The sequence below is a fragment of the Homo sapiens genome, chromosome 7, assembly GCF_000001405.40.
Source record: "Homo sapiens chromosome 7, GRCh38.p14 Primary Assembly".
Classification (NCBI taxonomy): Eukaryota; Metazoa; Chordata; class Mammalia; order Primates; family Hominidae; genus Homo; species Homo sapiens.
The window spans coordinates 50782309-50804181 of record NC_000007.14 but is presented as its reverse complement, the minus strand read 5'-3'; the positions used below and the strand labels follow the sequence as shown (position 1 = coordinate 50804181).

At 49.0% G+C, this 21873-nt stretch overlaps 1 protein-coding gene across 18 annotated transcripts in view; it reads left to right on the top strand.

Moving 5' to 3' along the window:
• GRB10 (growth factor receptor bound protein 10) overlaps positions 10729 to 21873 on the top strand; it is a 203386-nt gene continuing 192241 nt past the window's right edge. For 8 of the 18 annotated variants that reach the window (XM_017012061.3, XM_047420243.1, XM_047420233.1 and 5 more), the window contains exon 1: positions 10729 to 10958. Coding sequence is in view for 6 of the 18 variants with exons in the window: in NM_001371009.1 (NP_001357938.1) it covers positions 21643 to 21758 (116 nt within the window). In the remaining 12 variants the exon portion in view is untranslated. Of the gene's footprint in view, positions 10959 to 11307; positions 11741 to 21285; positions 21759 to 21873 lie in introns of those variants that run through there. The other 10 variants (NM_001371009.1, XM_017012030.3, XM_017012031.3 and 7 more) reach the window with 3 other exon arrangements.

Below are 21873 nucleotides of genomic sequence, written 5' to 3'. Positions count from 1 at the left end.
TTACCCCATGTTATCATAGTGAACAATCATATTAGTCATGATGCTTTAATCCTCAAGTAAAAACAGTAGTCCATGAGCCAGGTGTCAGGGCATGTGTCTGTAGTCTCAGTTACTCAGGGGGCTGAGGTGGGAGGATTGCTTGATCCTAGGAGTTCAAGAACAGCCGGGGCAACACAGCAAGACCCTGTCTCAAAACAAAAAACAAAAAACAGTAAGGATGTTTATTGACTCTCAGAATGTGAAGTCCAGGGTGGGATGGTCTGTGATGACCTCAGATGCCCATGTTTCCTCTGCTCCCTTACGTTGAGGCCCACAGGGTCAGCTTCCTCCTCAGTGGACTATCCTTAGAGCCAGGGAGGCTGCCAGTGCACCTGAGGTTCCACACTTTCTCATTCATAGCTCGTGTCCTACATAACAAAGGAACGGAAACTCCTTTTCTAGACACCCCCAGTAAACTTCCTCCCCCTCACTCTTCTTTGGCCTGAGTTGATTCCCAGGCCCATTCCTAAGCCAACCACTATATCTCTGGGACACAGGGATGGATGACTCTGATTGCCAGGCATGGTAGAGAAGAGGCAAGCTGGCTGTCCTCACTGCGCCATGCATGACTTACTGACTCATAGTTGTGCAAACAAAACAAAATGATGTTTGTTTTATGCCACTCTATTTGGGGTGGTTTATTATGCTGCATTATATTTTAACTCATTACAGACAAAAGTAAGGTATAAAAATCCACTAAAACAACACTATTAGGTAAGAATTATCATCCTGACTCTACAGCTGAGGAAGTTGAGTTAGGGAGTCTGTGTAATTTATCCACAGTCCCACAACTAACAAGAAGGAAAGTTAGAATTTGAACCTGGGTCAAATTCCTGGTTCCAAAACATATGTCCTTAACTAGAACTGAATGAATATGGAGCCCCCAACCGAATGCTTTACTAGGGCATTGTGACAAACTTCCTCCACAGGTGATGGCCTCTATACAAAAAGTCCTCATGGAGTTTTTCAGACATGCAGACATGGAGGCTCTGAGAGACAGAGCAGCTGCTAACTGCTGCCCTCACCGACTGGTCTCTCAGAGCCCCAGCTGGAACCCTGGACTCTTGACGACCGAGACACTTAGGGCCCCTGGGCAGTTTGGAAAGTCTGTGCATCCCTCCCTGGGAAGAGTCTTTCTGGTATACATCTGCCCTTGTCATCATACAGGCCCCCAAAGAGTCTGTCCCAGCCTCTCAGAGTCCTGTTGCAGGAGCCTTTGTAAGGCCATCAATGCCAACATCTTGACTGCCTCTGGACTGCTTTGCACCTACCTGCAATGCTGCAGGTAGTCAGCATTCAATCAGTGTCTGTTAATTGAATGAGTTATCACTGATGGTCTTTAGGACTTCCCTTCCATTCCCTTCCCTTTCCCTTTCCCTTTCCCTTTCCCTTTCCCTTTCCCTTTCCCTCCCCTCCCTTTCCTTTTCTTTTCCATGGACTCTCACTCTGTTGCCCAGGCTGGAGTGCAGTGGTGCGATCTTGGCTCACTGCAGCCTCTGCCTCCCTGGTTCAAGCAATTCTTGTGTCTCAGCCTCCCAAGTAGCTGGGATTACAGGCACCCGCCACCACACCCAGCTAATTTTTGTTATTTTTAGCAGAGACGGGGTTTCGCCATGTTGGCCTGGCTGGTGTTGAACTCCTGACCTCAAATGATCCACCCACCTCAGCCTCCTCAAATGCCGGGATTACAGCTGTACTAGGCACCTGGCCTAGTACAAGCATTCTGAGTTGCATTACTTCCTTCCCCCTTATTCCTCCTCTCCTCCCTCAAAGAGTCCCTGCAGACACTGGCATTCCTCTCCTAAGGGAATACTGAAGGAGTGTCACGGGGTGCTCGGGGACTCAGGTCCTCTACAGACTTGTTTCCTAGTTCTTGCAGTGGGGCACCAACTTTTACTGTGAACAGTCTTGATCTCCTAACTCACTTCCTGCTGGATGGAAGCCCTATCTTGTTCTTTCCCAGGGACTGAATATCTGCCACTGGACTTCCATCTGTGAGCAGACCTTGCTAGCTCCTTCTGTCCACCAGGTGTCTCATCACCATGAGGGTCACTCATCTGCAGGACATCTACCTCTTTTGCACTTTTTGGATATATTGTCTGGCTGCATCATCACTGACCCAGCTCCACCCACTCTAGGGTTGGCTCTTCCCACCGCCCATTTCTGGAGCTGCCTGTCATGGTGCCATCCCCATCCTGTGGGTGTCTCTGGTCTCCAGGAGGTCAGAATTCCCAAGGTAGCATCAGAGCCAAGTAAGTCAAACTCCCTAACAGTAGGAGGGCAAGGAGGGTGGTTAAGTGTGAGATTAAAATCCCTAACTTGAATAAATAAAAGACTTTAATATCTTCCTCCCATGACCCTCCCCTTCCTCCACCTTGGATTCAGGGACACATGCTTAAATAGAAATGAGATCACATTTTAGGATCCAAAAATAAACGAGAACACCTTTCCTAAAGAGGGAGAACTTTATTATACTGAAATCTAATTGCAGACTTTTGCACAAAAGACATCCCATTAGGTCATACACTTAAATAACTGGTTACATGGAAAATAATCAAATGACAAGAAATGACAGTAGAGACAGCCAGGAATAGTGGGAAGAAGGTAGAAGGGACTGAGAGTCAGACAAAGGGGGCTTCAAATGCCAGCCCTGCCACTGATTTGTTAAGTGACCTTGAGAAGCCATGTAGCTTCCCTGAGTCTGCTTCCTTGACTATAAAACTAAGAAAACAATATTTGCCTCAAATTTATTATGAGGATTAACTGAAATACATATATAAAGTGCCTGGTACAGTGTCTAATGTAAGGTACACATTAAACATATATCACCTGTTTATGCTGAAGCAGGCACTTAGGGATGGTGCTTGTTTTGAGAATGAAGAGGGAGGAGAAGAAAGAGGAGAAGATAATAGCTAAGGGAAGAAGAAGAAAAAATACTGTTTCTCCTAGAAAAATCTGTCACATACAGTCACTCGATCTTTAAATCTGATGAGTCCTAAAAAATAATGACCCTGGGCTACACTTACATATAAATGAATGAGAAGGACTCTCTGCAAATTATTGTAAAATATAATTCTCTCCTGTGCAACTGAACATCCAGACTTGGCTAACAGAAGTGCGAGCCCAAAGTGAATGCAAACACTCACGTGATCGCCCTCCACCTGGACAGGGTTCCTCACTGCTGTAAGTACGAATTGTGGGATATCTAACAGGTTCATCTCCAGGATTAGCTGTTCTATTTTCTGTGTAGTCTCGTACCTCATGCAGGCAGATTAATCCTCTTAAAGAATGTATGCTGACTAACTGAAGCAGCTTCTGGCTTTAACATCTTAAACATTAACTTTAAGGTGCTGTCTCAAAAACATACATTCACTTCCCCTCACACACCGTGCAGGTTATGCTAATACTAAATCCCCAGTAGCTCTAAATAATTTTTACCAATTAAAAGTTTTTGTTCTTATTTTGGATTCTCCTACTAGCTCTGGAACTTTGGTTATTAAAATCATGAAGTGTACTGGGATGGAGATATATTTTATTAAGTAAAGTTTGTGCTACATTCATGGTTAATTAACTTCTAATGGGGTTAAGGTGCTGAAATGATTTTTTTTTTAAGTGGCTGGAAAGGAGCTCGTGTTTTAGAGATATAACTAGGTTTGGATGCCTAGGGATTTAGAATTGCATGCCATCCCTAGGATCCTAATTCCCAGGCTGCATTTATTTAGGAAGCTCCTTCTAAACTAGAGGGGTTCTCAGCTCTTCATTGCCAAAAAGGCCATCTGCTATTGGCCACGTCCTTTTGGTGGTCCATTTACCAGCCACCCCCATCCCTGATCCTTCTTTCTTGCTGGTAGAAGCTGCCCCCACAATACAGAAGTTAAAGATGCGTGATGCTTACATTCTCACCTTCCTTCCCGCTAGGGCACGGGCCTGAGACCATGTTCTAGATCCTGAAATGTGAGAAGAAATCTCCTAGTGGATTCTGGCATGAGGCAAGGGAGGAGAATGTCCCCTTTGTGCCCTTGGACACAGTTATCAGGGGAACTGACGCCTGGAACTGCATCTGCATTGTGATCTTGACACTACCGGGGCAAGCATTAGGCAAAGCCATGGCCCTGAGAATGACGTGGACAGAAATCCTGGACAAGGCTGGTAAGCTCTGCTCTGTTCCCTGCAGCCCAAAGCATCCTAATGGGTGCAGTGTTGTTTCAACTAAGAGGGAGACGTCTCAGCCAGAGTGCCCGGGGGAGGGTGCTGAGCTTGCTCCATGATGGAATCTTCCTGCAGCAACATGGCCATGCGCTCTCCCTGCTCTGTGCCTCCCTCCCTCTGTGCCAGGCACTGTGCTCACTGCCACAGTCTCATCTAAGCCCAGGGCCACCAGAAGGGCAGAGACTTGCTGTGATACATACGTCCTATACTCACCCCAATCTGTTCATTATTGTTCCTCCCCTCTGTCACAGCTCAACATCATCCTCACCTACCAGTCTCCCAACTGGTCTGTTGGCTCCACTGTAGCTGGATCGAGCATTCTAAAACAAAACTGGGATCACCTAACAACTTCAAATCACCCAGTGGGACAAGCAGACATCCATATGCCACAAAAAAGAACCTTCACCCTTGTTTCACACGGTCTACAAAAATCAGTTACAATTGAATTATATCTCTAAATGTAAGAGCCAAAACTATACAACTTCTGGAAGAAAACATAAAAGAAAATCACTGCAGTATTGGTCTAGGAAAGAATTTCTTAGATAGGATACAAAAAACAATCCAGGAAAGGACAAATTGATAATTTAACTTACAAAACAAAAAACTTCTGCTGGCTGGGCGCAGTGGCTCATGCCTGTAATCTCAGCACTTTGGGAGGCCGAGGCGGGCGGATCATGAGGTCAGGAGATTGAGACTATCCCAGCTAACATGGTGAAACCCCGTCTCTACTAAAAATACAAAAAATTAGCCAGGCGTGGTGGCGGGCACCTGTAGTCCCAGCTACTTGGGAGGCTGAGGCAGGAGAATGGCATGAACCTGGGAGGCGGAGCTTGCGGTGAGCCGAGATAGTGCCACTCCAGCCTGGGCGACAGTGCAAGACTGTCTCAAAAAAAATAAAAAAATAAAAAATAAAAAAATAAAAAAACTTCTGCTGTTTGAAAGGTACCATTTAAAAAGTGAAAAGAATGGAGAAAATACTGGCAAAACACATCTCTACTAAAGGATTGGTAATATAAATAACTCTCAGCACTCAATGATAAGAAAAAAACACACAAAAAGATGGGCACATGATTTGAATAGACACTATACAAAACACTGTATATGCACAGCAAATAAGCACATGAAGAAGTGCTCAACATTATTAGCCATGAAGGAAATGCAAATTAAAATCAGAATGAGATACCACTACACAACATTAGAAGCTGCCCCCACAATATCAGGATGGCAGAAATGAAAAAGACAAACAACAGCAAGTGTTGGGCAAGATGTAGAGCAACTGGAACTCTTACACATTTTTGGTGCAGACACAAATAATATACTCACTTTGAAAATAGTTTGACAGTTCCTGGTAAACATATACTGAGATATGACCTAGCGGTCTCTCTTTTAGTTATTTACCCAAGAGAAATGAAAACTTACATTTCCAGAAAAACCTTTACCCAAATACTCATAGCAGTTTTATTCATAATTGCCCAAAACTGGTACTAGCCTAAATTTTCGCCAGCCAGAGAATGGCTGAACAAGTGGATGTACACCTACCCTAATTAAAGTATCATGCTATCCAGTCACTAAACATGGATGATTCACAAGGACATTATGCCAAGTTAACTACTGTGTGATTCCATTCAGATGACAATCTTGAGAGCAACATGGCTGGGTGTGGTGACTCACACCTGTAACCCCAGCACTTTGGGAGGCTGAGGAGGGAGGATTGCTTTGAGGCCAAGAGTTCAAGACCAGCGTGGGTAACACAGGGAGATCTCCATCTCTCCAAAAAACAAAAAAAGAAAGAAAGAAAAGAAAAGCAAAACCTAAGAACTGAAAGAGGATCAGTTGCCTGGAGTAGGAAGGGGGACTGACAAGGAGCATGAGAAAACTTTTTGGGGTGAAAACTATTTGTATTAATGTCTTTACTGGTTCCATAACTATATACCTTTCCAAACTCCACAAATTGTACATTAAAAAATGATAAATTTTCTGGTCAGCAAATTATACCTAAGTAACCAGCCTGAATAAACATCTTTCTGTGAGCCTCTGTTCTGGTTGTAAAGACATTTTGATCCAAGCAACTTCAGAAAAGGAGAGTTGATATTAAGACAATATAAGGAAAATGGGGCCAGGTGTGGTGGCTCACACCTGTAATCCCAGCACTTTGGGAGGCCGAGGCAGGTGGATCACCTGAGGTTGGGAGTTCAAGACCAGCCTGATCAACATGGTGAAACCCTGTCTGTACTACATATATAAAAAATCAGCTGGGGATAGTGGCGCATGCCTGTAATCCCAGCTACTTGGGAGGCTGAGACATGAGAATTGCTTGAACCTGGGAGGTGGAGGTTGCAGTGAGCTGAGATTGCGCCACTGCAGTCTGGCCTAGGCGACAGAGCCAGACTCTGTCCCTACCCCCTCCAACCCCCCACCAAAATCAAAACAAAACAAACAAATAAACAATGACGGAAAATGGAATTCTATGGAAGTTCAAAACAATAGCTGTACCAGCCTGGGCCCAGAGAGACGGGAGGCACGACGGCATCTGTTTGGGTCTTTGTACTTTACACCATCCTTATGCTGAGCCCAACTCGCCGTTCCTCACCTGGTCTCCATTGTGCAGATCCCACCAGTACTTCAAGTTCAGAATCCCAGGTGCAGGCTTCTGATTGGTTGGGTCACCCTTCCGCCCACTGGCCCACCTACCTACAGAATGGGAATCTCTGGGCCAAGCGTCATCCCTGACCAATTTAATTGGTACTTAGGAATCAAGGAAAACCAGGGTTGTGGGGAAACTCTAGACAGAGCAGGGCTAGCTGGGGGGCACTGTGCTGGTAGGCCCCATAACAGACATATCCGGTGCTCTCATCGCCATATAAGCCTATACTTGACAAATAAGTATAAATAGTTAAATATAAATCTGACAAATAAGTCCCTTCTTACCCCTCCAGCTTGGTGTGTTATCAAAACTCTAACCCCAGACCCAGCAGCAACATTCTGTGACTAAATGCAACTACTTGGTACTGCGCCCTGAGGGAGCCAAGGTCTTTCATGGGTTTGGTCTGAGAGACACGCCTGTCCCTCAACCCCAAAGGCCTTTTCTTCAGTTCTCTTTGCCTAACTTACCATCTTTGATGTTCTAGGGTGCCATGGGGGCATGGCAACCACTGGGAAGCCTTCCTTGAATGCTGCCAGGCTCCCCACCTCTAGACTCCAGGGTGGCCTGTCCATCTCGTTTTGGAGTGTTTGGAATACTGGTGTGGATGTAGATCGTGCATCATGCAGGAGTCTATTAAAAATGGGCTGGGCGTGTTGGCTCACGCCTGTAATCCCAGCACTTTGGGAGGCCGAGGTGGGCGGATCATGAGGTCAGGAGATAGAGACCATCCTGGCTGACACAGTGAAAGCCCGTCTCTACTGAAACAATACAAAACAATTAGCTGGGGGTGGTGGCAGTCGCCTGTAGCCCCAGCTACTCAGGAGGCTGAGGCAGGAGAATGGCGTGAACCCGGAAGGCGGAGCTTGCAGTGAGCTGAGATCGCGCCACTGCACTCCAGCCTGGGTGACAGAGTGAGACTCCGTCTCAAAAAAAAAATTGCAGATGAACCCTGGAAGTGTGAACTCTCCAGAGCTTGGGTGGGCCCAGGGATGTGTAGTGCAAGCAGGCTCCTCAGGTATTCTGGGGCAGGCACTATGATTATATTATGACTATAGACTACCCCCTTCCCCTTGCAGGGGTGGGCAGGCGGCTGCTTTCCAGACATGTGCTCGCATGTCCACATGGGCCGCATGGGATGGTGGCTGGGCCGTGTGACTAGCAGTGGCTCATGAGAGCAGAGGCGAGGGCCACTGCTGCTCAAAGCAGTTAGCTGTCAGGGTGCCATTCACCCTGACTACTTTCCCTTTGTCAAGGTTACTGGCAATGTTTGAGACAGTGCCCAGGTCTCAGAGGCTCCTGAGAAATTAATTCACTGGACAGTATTCCCCAGTAATGACTATTCACTTAGTGCCCTCTCTGTCCCAGGCACTCCACCTGCTGGAAGGACACTAGTGAAGGGGCACAGAGTTGCCACAGTCACCATGCTTACAGTCAACAGGGGAAGACAGATGTTAATCAATTCATTACTAATTAAAAATTAGAGTCTATCAGATTCTCTACTTTCAGCTGAAGGAGGCTTCTAGCTCATGTTTAGATAATTGAATTTCTCACTATCACGGAATCCTGTGTCCTGACACCTAATTCCAGCTTATATGTTTCCCCTTGGGGAAGTGCTTGAACTACAAGCCTCCCTGTCTTGCCCAGTATGCTGAGCTCTCCAGGATAACGTATAGGCTGCATGGCTAGATTCCACTGTGGCTGCCACCCTGTTGAGAGGGAGCATTGTGCGTGGGCAGGGGCATCTGGAGTTTGGGGGAAGGGAAGGCTATAAGATACAATCTGTATATAGGATTGGCTCATCCAGGATCACTGCACAGAGGACAGCTGCAGCTTCTGCAGCCACAAGAGTGACAAGTTCATGAACTTGCATCAGAAAGTGTCTCTGAATGGGTTCTGCCCACTGATGTCTACAGAGAGCCAGGAAATGTAGGGAATGAGGGCCTGTCCTAGGAATTCTAGAGACCTATGCTAGCAGGAAAACACTTAAGGACATTTATCTTGATCACTTCTCTGTGAATAGTAATGTCTGAAAACCCATACATTTTGAGACAACTAAATGCAATACCTGACTCTAGACCTCAATAGTGGATCTTGTAACAGAGGGAAAGAAATACTATGGAAGACATAGTCAGATCAACTGACTATACCGGAATATGGACCTAGATTGGATACAAGTATTTTATCAATATAAATTTACGAATTTGGTGACTATTGTGGTTATGCACATAATATCTCTACTCTTAGGAAAGACACATCAATGTATTTAGGGGTAAAGGGGCCATAGTGTATGGAATTTACCCACAAGTGATTCCAAAAGAACATATGTCTATGTATCAAGGAACTTTTGAAACCTCTATCAAAGCCTCCTTGCCTATCAGGCTATCTGACTGGTGTAGGCATGGATTGCTGTTTGGACCTTCAGCAGAAGCTAGAAGGTTCAAAGCTGATGCATTTGTGAGAAGTTGGCTCAAACTGAGTTTTCTGTTCTTTAATTTTCTTTTGAGTCCTTTGTCTGCAACAGGAGTCCTCTGTGTTCCTTTCTTCTAGGAATCTAAAATCCTTTGATATCATCCTCTCTTGATTTTCATCTTACGTGTTTCTGAGCTTGGACCAATAGGCAAAAATTTAGGGAGGTCTGTTTCAGTTACAGGGAAGGATGACCTTTCCATGAGTAACATCTGTCTAAGGTGGAATAACTCCTGCTAGAAGCAGGTGCCTACGAGGGGCTTTGGTACAATACCGTACATGGCTTCCAATCCTTGCTCTGCACTTACCAGCTACTTGACTTTCAGCAAGTCACTTAACCTCTCCAAGATTCAGTTTCCCAGTCCGTACACAGTGGGACTCTAACAGTAACACCTAGAGGGCCACAGTGGGGGTTACATGCAAGGATTCATGAAGGTTTTGCACAAAGTGCACGCTCTATGAAGGCAAGATATTGTCGCAGCTGCGTTTAGAACGCCAAGACCCAGGAAAAGACATACTTATCGTTATGCTATGTGTATTAGAGTTTTGACTCGGTAGAGATATTAAGAATCACACTAACGACAATGGCTTCCGTCAATTGGGGGGTAGGGGAGTCTTTTTCGCAGTCACTTTATGTTCCCAGTATGACCTCATTTAATCCCCAGGACACCAACCCTCAGGCGGGCGTTATTAGCCCATTGTAAAGATAAGGACACCAGGCTTGGCAGCATTAAGAAAAAATGAAGGGCCTCTCACTCCACCCGCACTTCGATACTCATACGCAGATGGGGCAAACTGAGGCTCAAAGAGGTGAGGCCCCAGACCTGGCTGGCTGTGAGCAAACCCAGGTTTCCTTTTCCCAGGCCGGGTGCCTTCAGCCCACGACAGAGTACGGGGCAGCCCCAGCTCTTCCGTCCCGTCCTGCTGCGCCCAGGATAAAGGATCTGGACTGCGCAGTTAATACTTTGTGCGTTTCAAACAGTTCGCTTATAAATTGTCTTTCGGGACAGGTCCAATTTGTCCTTTCACTGGCGAAGCCTCCTGAGCCGCGGCGGTCGTGGTCCCGCGCCCGAGTCCCGAGGACAGCAGGAGGGGGGAACCCGCTCAGCAGCCCGGGGCAGGAACCTCCGGGAGCTTCTGGCCCCCCGGCCGTCCGGCCCGCGGCCCGCGCCCCCGCGCCACGCCCTGCGCCCAGGCCCCGGCTCCTCCCGCGCTGGCGGCCGCCGAGCGGTCCGGGCGGCGGCGGCGGGAGGAGGAGCAGGAAAAGTAGCCGGGGGAGGAGGCGGAGGCGGAGGCGGCGGCGGCGGCAGAGGCGGGGAGGGCGGGCGGGGCCGGGCGAGTTTAAAGCCCATCGAGGGGGTGGGGAGGTCGGGAGGAGGCAGAGAGGGAAGCGAGCTGCGGCCGGGCGGGCTCGGCGCTCGGAGACCCGGTGGAGCCCAAAGTTTCCGCGCAGCCCCTGGGTGGCGGCAGCGCCGGCGGCGCGGGGCGCCCGGGACAGTCTTGAGCGCCGGCCTCGCCCCGCGGGGACCCGCGCCCGCCGCCGGCCACGCCGAGTGTCGCCCGCAGCCACGCGGAGGCGGCGGGGAGCCGCGCGCGGCAGGTACGGAGTTGGGCGGGGAGCGCGGCGGCAAGTTACTTTGTGGTTGGCGTCCCCGCGGGGCCCGGGACGGCCAGGCGGGTCCCCGCGCCGTCATTGTCTGAGCGCTGGGCGGCCGCGGCCGGGGACGCCGGGCCCCGCGGAGGCGCGGCGGGCGGAAGGGCGTCGCCTCCGGGCCGGGGGCTCCGGCGCCCCGGGCCCGCAGCGGGCGGTGCTCGGAGGCGGGACTGGGGCTGCGGGCGCGCGGCGGAGGCGGAGGCAGCCGGGCGCCCCGCGGGGCTCTCCGCGCTGCGTTCCCGACCCCTGGGGGGAGGTGTGGAGTCCAAGCGGTGCATTCTTGAACCATCTTGTCAGACGCCGGCGGCTCGCGGGCTGTGGCGGGGGCTGCGGTCAAGGCCGCGCTCCTGGGGGCCGCCGCCTGGGAGGGTGGGCGCCCAGGCGTCCCTGCAGCCCCGGGTGCTCCGACTGCGCGGCGGGGCCGCGGCGCGCGCGCCCGGGCGTCCGGGCGTCCGGGACAGTGGTGCCAGACACTCCCAAATCCCGAGCCGGCCCAGCCTCGTACGGAGGACCTTTTTTTTGGTTCTGTTGGTGACCCGTTAGCCGCCGCTGGGGCCTAACACCAAGTTGAGGGCTCGCGGATTAGCCGCCCGCCAGCCGTGGAAATGTGATAAGAGCGGTACCGTTTGCAGAAGGAAATTTCTGATGCAACTCTTCGCCTTTGCTGATTGCCTCTCCAAACGCCTGCCTGACGACTGCCTTGGAGCATGTGCGTTATGGAAATTAGGGTATCCTTTACTTTTTATTGTGTGCGTCTTTTCTTGGGATTGGAAGAAACGCGAACTTTTTATGGTTTGCTTTCACCGAAACGTTGGGTAATGTAAGAGAGCCACAGGTGATTTTTACAGGGTCCTGGATCTTTACAATGCGTTTGAAAGAATATTTTCTTGCAAACTTGGTGCCCAGTTTCATTCAAGAGATGGGGGGGAGGGGGGAAAGACCAAAACAAGGAGAGCTCGTGAGTAAATATGCGTTATTGCACAACTTGCTCGTTGCTGCTGTTTAAAAGGCCAGGCCTAGAACACTTTGTTTCTGAAAATGCTGATTCAGCCGTTTGGAGCCCCCGAGTTTCAGAAATGGTGGTCTATTTAAAGTTTCAAGCAGTTTTACCAAGAACACATGTTGTTAGCGCAGCAACCGGAGTTGACTAGGGTTTACAACACAATGCTGGCAATATTTTAACGAGCTGACCCCGAGTTCCTCTCTTTCCAGGAGGAAAGAGTTAGAATCAAGAGTTTCTACAGCAGTGGGACTTCTGGCTGTGACAGCGGTGAAGTGTCTTTTAGGAGAGTATTTTAAGTAAAAGCACTGAAAACCAACTATGTTTCCAGGAATGATTCTAGATGTCTAGGTTTTTCTCTTAAAAATCAAAACTCTAGGATCACTGCATGTAATATTTGAGTTTTACTGGGAGCACTTGAAAGAGAAGGGCAACACAGGCCAATCCCCAGATTACAGGGAGGGAATTTGAGGACAGAGTTACACGCCCAGCAGGCATTGCTCCTGTAACTGAGAAGTGTAGCGACTGATACTTCTGTAGCATTTCACAGTTTACAAGGCACTTTCAAAAGCCTTGTTGCTTTTAATCCCCTCTACAACCTCCTGATCCCCATTTTACAGGTCTGAAAACCAAGGCTCAGGAGGTTAATTGGCATGCCCGAGGTCATACTGTCAGCAAGTGACAAAGCTGTCACTAGAACCTAAGCTTTGGATCATTTTAGTCTTGTGTTTTATTTGCAAAAGTACATCCACTTCTGAAAGGGAAATGGCGTGGGTCAGGTATGTATAGCCTGCCAGTCACACACTCGGAGAATGATGATTGCCTGGTCTGGGGGCTCCCAGCCTTCAAGGTTAATGCCATGTTACCAGAGCATTCTAGATATTTCCTTTTAGTTCACTCACTTTTTACATTTAAATACACATTTATTTTGGGAAGGAATTTTGATATCCATGAAGTCATGAGTTTTGATGTGGTAGTTATGTTTACTGTAATTAGAAAAGTTGTGTACCCCTAAAGTCATCTATTGCATATTATCTGTTTGGTCACTTTTGGGGCAGCGTTGGCCCACTCAAAATGCTTTTCATTTGTGGATCAGGAACCCAGAACTGGGCAGGTTCATGCCAGCTACTTGTCCAGAGCTTTGTATGGTGATGGCCACCAGGACTGGGACCAAGGGCAGCCCTGACCCAGTTTAAAGAGCTATGTCTGTGTCTACTCAGCCTCCAGTAGGAGAAGAGAGCAGAGTCAGACTCGAAGAGTTAGCTCAGAACTTGATTTTGGTGATCTTTCCGGGTACAGGCTATATTATGTGTAGAAATCAAACTCCAGCTTGAACACAGTCATCTATTGTGCCTTCAGCTTCATTTTAGAGCTGTAGAAATTCTTGATTGGTTTATCTGGTAAAACCGAATGCTTTAAAGGTGGCATAATTTAAGGAATGGAATCTATTTCCTTGGAATTCTGTCCGACTCTTAACTGCAAGGGGAAGAGAAACCTACGGGATCGTAGAATGTATTTGAGCTTGTATCTAGGGTTAGGTTGCCAGCCTGTCAGAGCTCAGAGCTAAATGCAGGGGATTTTGGTCCTGCTCCCTGGAGGGGAAGCCTGTGCCTTTGCACGTTTGCTCCGTAATCCCCGCGTCTGTTTCTCAGTTTATTAAACCAACGTGGCATTGTATGGCTTGTGAGGAGAACATATTTGCCTTGTCTTTCATTTGAGTAATCAGTCCTTCAAAGTTTAAATAAACTTTTTTTTTTCCTGGTAGTGGAGACTTTTCTTTTAACCTGTGCTATTTTATTTTTTATATAACTGTAGAAGTACAGAAGTGTGGGAGATTATGGAAGAAATTAAGGTCGTCCAACTACTTGGTGGGTGAGACTTGGCAGACAGGTACTTTGGAGTTCTAGGGATCACTTTCAGAGTTTGCATACTATTAGGGGTATAACTGGTCTGATCCATTCAGCCCCTGGCTGGTATTTAATTTGTGTGAATATTTTAGCTGCACACTTTTAGGGAGCTGTATCTGTTTTCACTCCTTGTTCCTCTTGGCTGGGACACCTTTGCATCAGACTCCCACCCCCAACCTGGACCACTTCTGAACTGATCTCTGAGAAATGAGCTTTCCTGCACTTTTGTCTTCTGGAGGCTTTTGTCCATGCTCCTGGTGATCACAGGGCCTGCTAACTGCAGGGAGATAAAAGCAGTCAAAGCTTAAAACCACCCGCTTACTCGTGGAAAGGCAGGCTGATGGCTCTTCTTTAATAATGGATTGAAAAATGGTGTGATTGTCCTTTGAGATGGCAACAGAAGAAGCCATTTCCTGGGGTTATCAAAAATAATCTCAGAGGTAGAAATGAGTGGTTCTGATTTTTTTGCTTTTAGGATATAGTGACTCTAAGGAGATTTTTTCTTTTCCCCTGTATTAGAATATTCATATTTTTGAACCATCTACTTTACATATGGATTTCTGGGGAGATTCTTCTAGTCTTTTCAGATCCCTAATTTGAGGGGCTTATTATTTGGGCTGGACCCAGCAACAGAGTGGACTTTTTGTTGTTAACGTCAAGCCTGAGAACGGGCGCTGGGGAGGAATAACCCCTCCCACCATATCGTTTCTTTTCTGCTCTATTTGACCAGGGCAGCAGGCACACTGCCTCAGTTGACTCCTGGTTGTACTACTTACTAGTTTGGCCAGGCTGAACAAGTGAACCAACTTGATCCGTTAAAATGGAAGCCATAGGCGTGTTTATCCCCACGGCTTGTTGGGAAGGTAGCACGAGGTGTGATGTGTGTGATTGGCACGATGCAGAGCTCATGCAGTCTTTGTGGCGATGTCTGTAGGCACTTTGCCGTCAGCCTTGTCTTAGAGCAGTTTGTGGACTTGATATCCTGCTTGCTATTAATTTATAAGGTTGGTTAGAAAGGGGACTTGGCTTTTGTATTTTTGTCTTCCAGTGCTTTGTACATGCTAGTTGCACAAAATCTTGTTTGAATTTATCTGAATGTTCTTTGAGCCACAGTCAGTGCTCAGAAGAATCCTTTTGTTGACTGTGTTTAGCGTGACAGTTTGAACTCCTCACAGGTAGAATTCTAAGAGCAAAGATAGCTGGTGTACTGCAGACTTCACTTGGCTGCAAACCATTTGAACCAGATAATAGTGAATAGCAGGTGTCAAAAATTGGTTTCCTTCAACCAGGAGCAGAAGTTGTGAAGACCCCTGCAGTGCGTAAGCTCTGATGGGCAGCAGCATTGGGTGTGGAGACAGATCTCTGGTCTCCAGGCCTGTGGAGCCTGTGGCATTTGTCTTCAGGCCCCCACGGTTGGTGTCTGGACTCTTACAGAGGCACTTATCCTAGCTGGGACTGAAATGACTGTGGACCGCTTATCCTGGTCAGGCTGATGTGCCCCTGGGATGTGGCTCCGAGCTCTATCCAGGGCTGTGCTAGTGGGCAGTCCTGCTTCTCCCTGAAGTTCTTGAAAGGTTTTGTATTAGGTAAATGGAACTGGGCATGAACAGTGGCAGTCTTGCCTATTAACATGGGTTTCCCAAAGTACTTGGCACTTTGGCGTGTGTTGGTCCTCATCATTGTGTCATTAAGGTCACTAGAGCTAATGTGGGGTTGGGGGCTGGGATCCTCATGTGCTGGGTCAGTGCAGGTGGCACTGCGTTGGGGACTGCTCTCTGTCTGGTCCTGTCTGTGAGCTGTCAGGGGTCTCACTCTGGGAGCTCCAAGGGGACGTCTGAGCAATAGAGGACCATGAGGGATAGCTGAAGACCCGCTTTCTACCTTCTCTTGTCCTTTCACATGGGAGTCGAGGGTCAGGAACCTCCAAGGCTGCTCACTGCAAGCTACCTGGGCCCCACTGAGATGGCAGGTCCCCACTTCTCTGATGTGCAGGGCCTTTAGTTTACTTATTTGATTTTTAACTTTCATCCCTGGGAGTATTTAGGCAGTGGCTTCCAGCCTTTTGTAAGTGAAGAGTTCCCTTTAGTATAAAAACCTTTATAATACCACATACCTCATAGAATAATTTTTGGATTCCCTGCTTTGAGAAGCTACCATGAATTGAGTAACTTTTAAATTCAGAAGTTTGTACCACAGCTTCCTGCCCAGGGACAGTGCCTGGTGCTGAGCCTGGGGCCCTGCTTGAGATCGCTGTTCCTAGACGGTCTTCACATCCTGTGGGAAGTTGAGCTGGCTGGGTCATGTTCAGTGCCCTCTAATTGTCCCGTATGGGCTGATTTGAGCCAGAGGGCACCTCCCCCGCCCATCTTTTCACCCTGGCCACACCACCCTGGCCCAGGACAGGCTGCAGGGGTGTTACCTGAGCTTCCAGGTGTCTGTTCTAGGGTACCGCACTCCCTCTTCTGAAGAAAATCACGTGCATCTCACAGAATCCCCTCCAGAGAGGAGAACGTTGAGTGTCTTGGCCTGCGATCCTAGTGAGGTGATGGAGCGACGCAGGAGGGATAAGTCAGGAGGGCTTCCTAGTGTCATTGTCGCCTCATCTCTCCATCACAGGTCTCCCCGGCCTTCTCCCCACCTAGGCCTGCAGGGCAGTGAGTGGACACAGGCTGTCCCTGTCCTGACCCACCGTCCCTGCCCAGGGCACTGTCCCCCTGCTGTCCTTGCCTGTCCATATCACACAGTGTTTCTGTTCTCTTCGTCTGAAGGGTCACCTGGTTTCCTAATTCCTCAACACCCAGAGCAAACTATTTTAAAATTTAGTTTGGATTTTTAAAATCAGAGTGATATGTAGACATAGGTTAAAGATGAAATAATTCCCCAGAAGTAACTTATCAGCAGATTTTTTTCTGTACGTACTTCCATATTTCTGAAGAGGTCTAGACAATAGATTGCGATTCCTGGCAACCTCCTCCTCCTCCTCCTCCTCCTCCTGCTCTCCAGAGCCCCATTTTTCATGTGATTCTTGATTTCAAACTCCATGGAAGGTGAGGATGATGCCCTTTGTCCCATCCCCACCCTACACTCACTCTTGTCTCTTCATCGTCTCTTCTGGTCCATTCAGCTCCATCAGTATGCAGTGTTGGGATGGTCCCCTAATGCTGCTCATAGCTGAGCCATGTAGTATACTGTGATAACTGTGATTTTCTCCTAGGACATTTTGTTTTCTCCTGGAGTTGTTTTTGCCTAGTTTTTAAAATGTACTTACCATTCTTCCCTCCAAACTTACAGAGTTGTGTGAATCTCTTTTCCAAGGCCTAAGGTGATCTGCAGTTTTATCTTTGGAAGCAGTTCCTTGTGTGCCTTTCTGCTTTCAGCAGGCTGGGTTGCTCTGAGGCTCCCTGCACAGCTGTTGTCTTGGAGTCTTTCTTCTCCATTGTCCCAGGAATGCCCCTTTGCCTTTCTCTTGGATCTCATGACTTTTCTTCTTGGTTTATTTCCAAAATTTGATGGAGTACTTTCTATAGAAGCTTCCAAAAAGTGGTGCACAAGATGTCAACTTTTTGAGACCTTGCATGTCTGGGAAAATGTCCATCTACTCTCACAGTTTACGGTTTGTCTGAATATGGATTTCTAAATTAAAGATAGTTTTCCCTAAAACATTTAGAGGCTTCCATTGCCTTTAGGCAGAATGGGGTTGAGAAAGAAGCTCTTCTGATTCTTGATTCTGTGTATGAAAGAGTACCAGAGTGGTTTTTTGGTTTGTTTTTTGTTTTGTTTTGTCATGTCTGGACACTTGTAGGATATTCTCTGTGCCTTTGTTCCGAAGTTCCTTGAAGATGAGTCTTGTTGGGTCTCCACTTTGTGTGTGGGGTATGTTGAGGGCCCATTGAAGCTGGAATCTCAGATCTTTCTGGTCTTGGACATGTTTTTGAATTAATCCTTTCATTTCTTTTCTTCCATTTTCCTCTTCTCTCTTTCTAGGATGGCAGTTATTTGGTTTTTAGCCACCTGGATTGGTTCTCTGTATTTTTTATCTAATAGTCTGTGTCTGTTGTGTTGTTTTTAGGTTTTGGGATATGTCCTCAATTTGACCTTTTAACTTTTCTGTTGGATTTTGTTTCTATTTTCATTTTGAATTTCTTAGGATCTCTCTCTATATATATATTTATATTCTTTTTAAAAAACAGACTTTAGAGCAGTTTCAGGTTTACAGCAAAACTGAATGGAAGGTCCAGAGATTTCCTACATGCCCTCTGCCCCACACACGCACAGCCTCTCCCACTACTGGGAATCCTGTACATTTGTTACAGTTGACTATTGACACATTATTGACATTCAAAGTGAGTATTCTTTTTTTAATGGCATAATATTCTTATTTCATAGATACGTCTATCTCATTTGTAGATATTAATTTTTAAAAACTTTTTGTGTATCGTTTCTTCTCTCCCATTTGTAAATGATTTACTTTTAATTTTTCTGTTTGTTTGTGTCCAGCTTACCCGGAAAGCAGAGCCTATGGCAAAGCCTTCTGTGCTTCTATTGTAGGAGGGTGTGCCAGCCTGGTGGAGGGAGGCTGGAAGGAGGGAACCTGGGTGCAGGGTGAGGCGGGGTGCCCGCGGTGGGCAGTGCCTAGAATTGAGTGAAGCCAATGGTTCCACATGTGGGGCTGGCTTGTGTCACGAGCTCCCAGTCCTCCAGACAGTGCTGGGAAGGGGTTGGGGTGGAGGATGTATCTCCTGTCAGTGCCCGTCACCATGGGCCAGGGTTGCATCTGGGCTACATCCCTGCAGGTGCTGGGTGTACAGGCTCTTCAGAGCCCTGGTAGGAGGAGGCTGTGCTGCAGGACATAGGGGTCCCATCAGATGCGGCTCAATAGAGCTGTGGACAGGGCCCAGGGAGGTGAGGCATAGGAAGTGTTTGTCCCATGCAATTTGGCCACATCTTTCACCTTAGAGGCTTCGCTTAGCTGTCTGGGGTCTTCCCACTTTCAAAAGGACATTGCTCAGAAGCTGACAGGAGCCCTGTGTGAGTGAGCATTTAACTGTGGCCTCTGTGGATGGACGCCTGGTTGCTTGTTGTGGGGCTCATGCTTTTGGGTCTCTTCTCAGCTCTGCAGGAGCCTCTTTCAGTTCTGTTGGAGGTGCTGCTCCAGGAGCTGCTGGGGATGGTGGTGGGATTCATATGGCAGCTAGCATGTGATCCACCAAATCTTTCTGGGACTAAAGGCATGGCTGTGTCTGCTGATCCTGGTCCAGAGACCTGTGTCCCTGCTTCCAGAAAAGAAGTCACCTAGCTGATGGAGCTGGGGAGAGGACCCGGGATGAAATGGGGCCCAGCTATTCCTGACACTTCCGATTAATCTTCTTGTTTTGGACTCTACGTTTCCCATTTCCAGAGGTGAATGGTAGTTCTCATTCCTGAGACTTTCTGGGCTTCCACTGAGTATATCATCAGGCTTCATCTCCACTTTCCAGCTTAGCCTTCATCTCTTTTGCCTTTGCTGTCAGTTACTTCTTGACCACTGGCTTTTATGCCTTTTCAAAGATTCTGTTCTTGTTCTAGTAAAGCAAAATGTGTGTCCTGTCAGCCATTCAGTGAAGGTCTGGCTTTTCAAGATTCCTTGTCCATCATTAGATCATTTCTCTCTTGCTCTTCCCACATCCAGGAACAGCTGCTTCGAACTGGGACCTCTGGCATTTTGTAATAGAGGGGAGTGTGGCAGGGAAGCCCTCTGTCCTGCACAACCTGTTGTTCTAGCCCAGGAGATGGCAGGGTGCGTGGGATGTTCAGGCAAAGGAGTTCACCATCCAGGCTGGGAGCTGCTGGGCAGGGAGGCAGAGGAACACTCGAGCCACCTTTGTGGGGTTGACTGCAGAGGTGGAAGAAGCCACTGTGTCAGACCGCAGAAAAGTCTCATATCTGGAGTCTGGAAGGAAAGCCAAGTTCTCCCAGTCAGTAACCTGCTCTGGACTTTGGATAAGTTACATAATTTCTCCACACTTTGGTTTCTCCCCGAATCTCAGGGTTTGATTCTGTGCTTCCATTTCCCATTCTGTGCCTTGCGATGTTCACTATGTGACATCTTCTCTGAGGGGTGCGCAGTTAGAGTCAAAAGCGCTAACACCTTCAATGTTTCTTGCAGTAGCCAGGCCATATGTGGTCAGCCCGGACTGTGAGAAAAGAAAGCCTTGTGTTACCCTTTGTGTTGTGTTGAAAACTGCTCTTGGCTGCTTTCAGAACCAGCCTTAACTCTGCTTTTGTTTGATCGACTTAAACATATTGGAATTTTGTGGTCATGACCACCGTGGAACCTCTCCTTTTGGAGTGCATATCTGCACTTTTTCCAGCCTCCTCCTCCAGTGACCTTCAGGGGCCTGACCTGGCCTCCGAGCAGTTGGACTAGGGTAGCTTTTCCACTCTTTGAACCCCAGACTGAGATGGGGTTTTCCCAGCGCCCTGCCCCTTAACGTGTGTGAATGCAGTATAGGATCTCAGTTTCAGAATCCATTGTCCACTGTTGACTGTTAGGTTCTTACTGCTGTCTACAATGTCTAGCTTTTCCTACCATGTTCTCTGCTAGAGGGGAGTAGAAAATCTGCTTACTGCTTACTGTGGCCTTGTAAACGGCAGTGAATATCTCCAAACGTTCTGTTTTGCTTCCATCATTGCAGGCTCGTGTGTATGTCTGTGGTGTATGTGTGTGCGGGGGTGGGGGAGTATGTGTGATGTGTGTGTGTGGTGTATGTGTGTGTGTGGTGTGTATGTATGTGTGTGGTGTGTATGTATGTGAGTGGGTGGGTGGGATGTGTGTGGTGTGTGTGTGAGGTGTGTGTGGGGTGTGTGTGTGTGTGAAGTGACTAGCACATAGCAGATGCTTGGTATGTATAGGATCTGTTCTTTCCCTCGCTGACTCTCAGTTTAAATGGGACCCTACTTTGTCCTCGTTGTTCAGTAACGTTATGCCTGTGGCTTCCAGAAAGAGCCTCTCCCTTCCTGGTTCTTGCTCTGACATTTTGGGGAGAAGGGTGAGACGAGAGTGATCCTGGAAGAGTAGAACTGGCCGGCCCTGCAGGTGGAAGGTTGCTCGAGCAGGCGGCATCTCTAGCTTGCCGCGGCCGCGATGTCCCCCGCCTGTCTGCGAATGCGGCGTAGCGGGTAGACATGGAGGGCTTTCGGCATCGTCAGAGTGGCCAGTGTGCGCGTCCTTGCCCATCAGGCGGGGGGGCTGTGGGGGAGGAGAGGAGGCAGTGGAGGGAACAAGGGGTTCTTCAGGGTTGCCATGAGAACCAGGGATCCGGGGATTGGGCAGCAGAGGGCCCCCGCCGGGCGTTGGGGCGTGGCCGCGTCACATGGGTTTGGTCCTGGGATTCCTGTTGTGCTCCAGGACCGGGCGCTGCTCCGTCGTCCTCCCGCTCCTCAGGAGCGCCCAGTCCCTCGGAGGCTGAGTATTGCAGCCGGGCGGCAGCCGGCTCCGCGGAGGGGCCCCCGGGCACCTGCGTGGTGATGGCGCTGGGAGCCCCCGGGCACGCTCGGGCGGTGGCGCGGCATCCCACCCTCGCCCGGATGGCGTCCCCAGAGGCGGCGTTGGCCCGCTTTTCGTGCTAGCGCGTTCGCCTGGCGCGCGGTGGCCCCGAGGCCCCGGGTCGGTTTTCTGCGCCGCAGGCCCCTGGCCGGGGCGGAGCCGTGGAGGACCAGCCCGGCCCGGCTCCGAGCGCTGTCCATGCGGAGCGCTGTCCACGCGCCGGGCACTGCGGGGGCCGGGCCCCGAAGCCCTACCCGGGCCGGCGGCGCACACGCAGCGACCCCGTGCGGCCAGTGCTGCCGCCCGCTCTCCAGGTACTCAGGTGGGCTCCGCCGCGGGCGCTGGGCGGTGGGCGGTGGGCGGTGGGCGCGAGCCGGGGCGGCGGGCGGATCGGCCTGCGCAGGCTGCAGAGGCCCCGGCCGCGGCGGA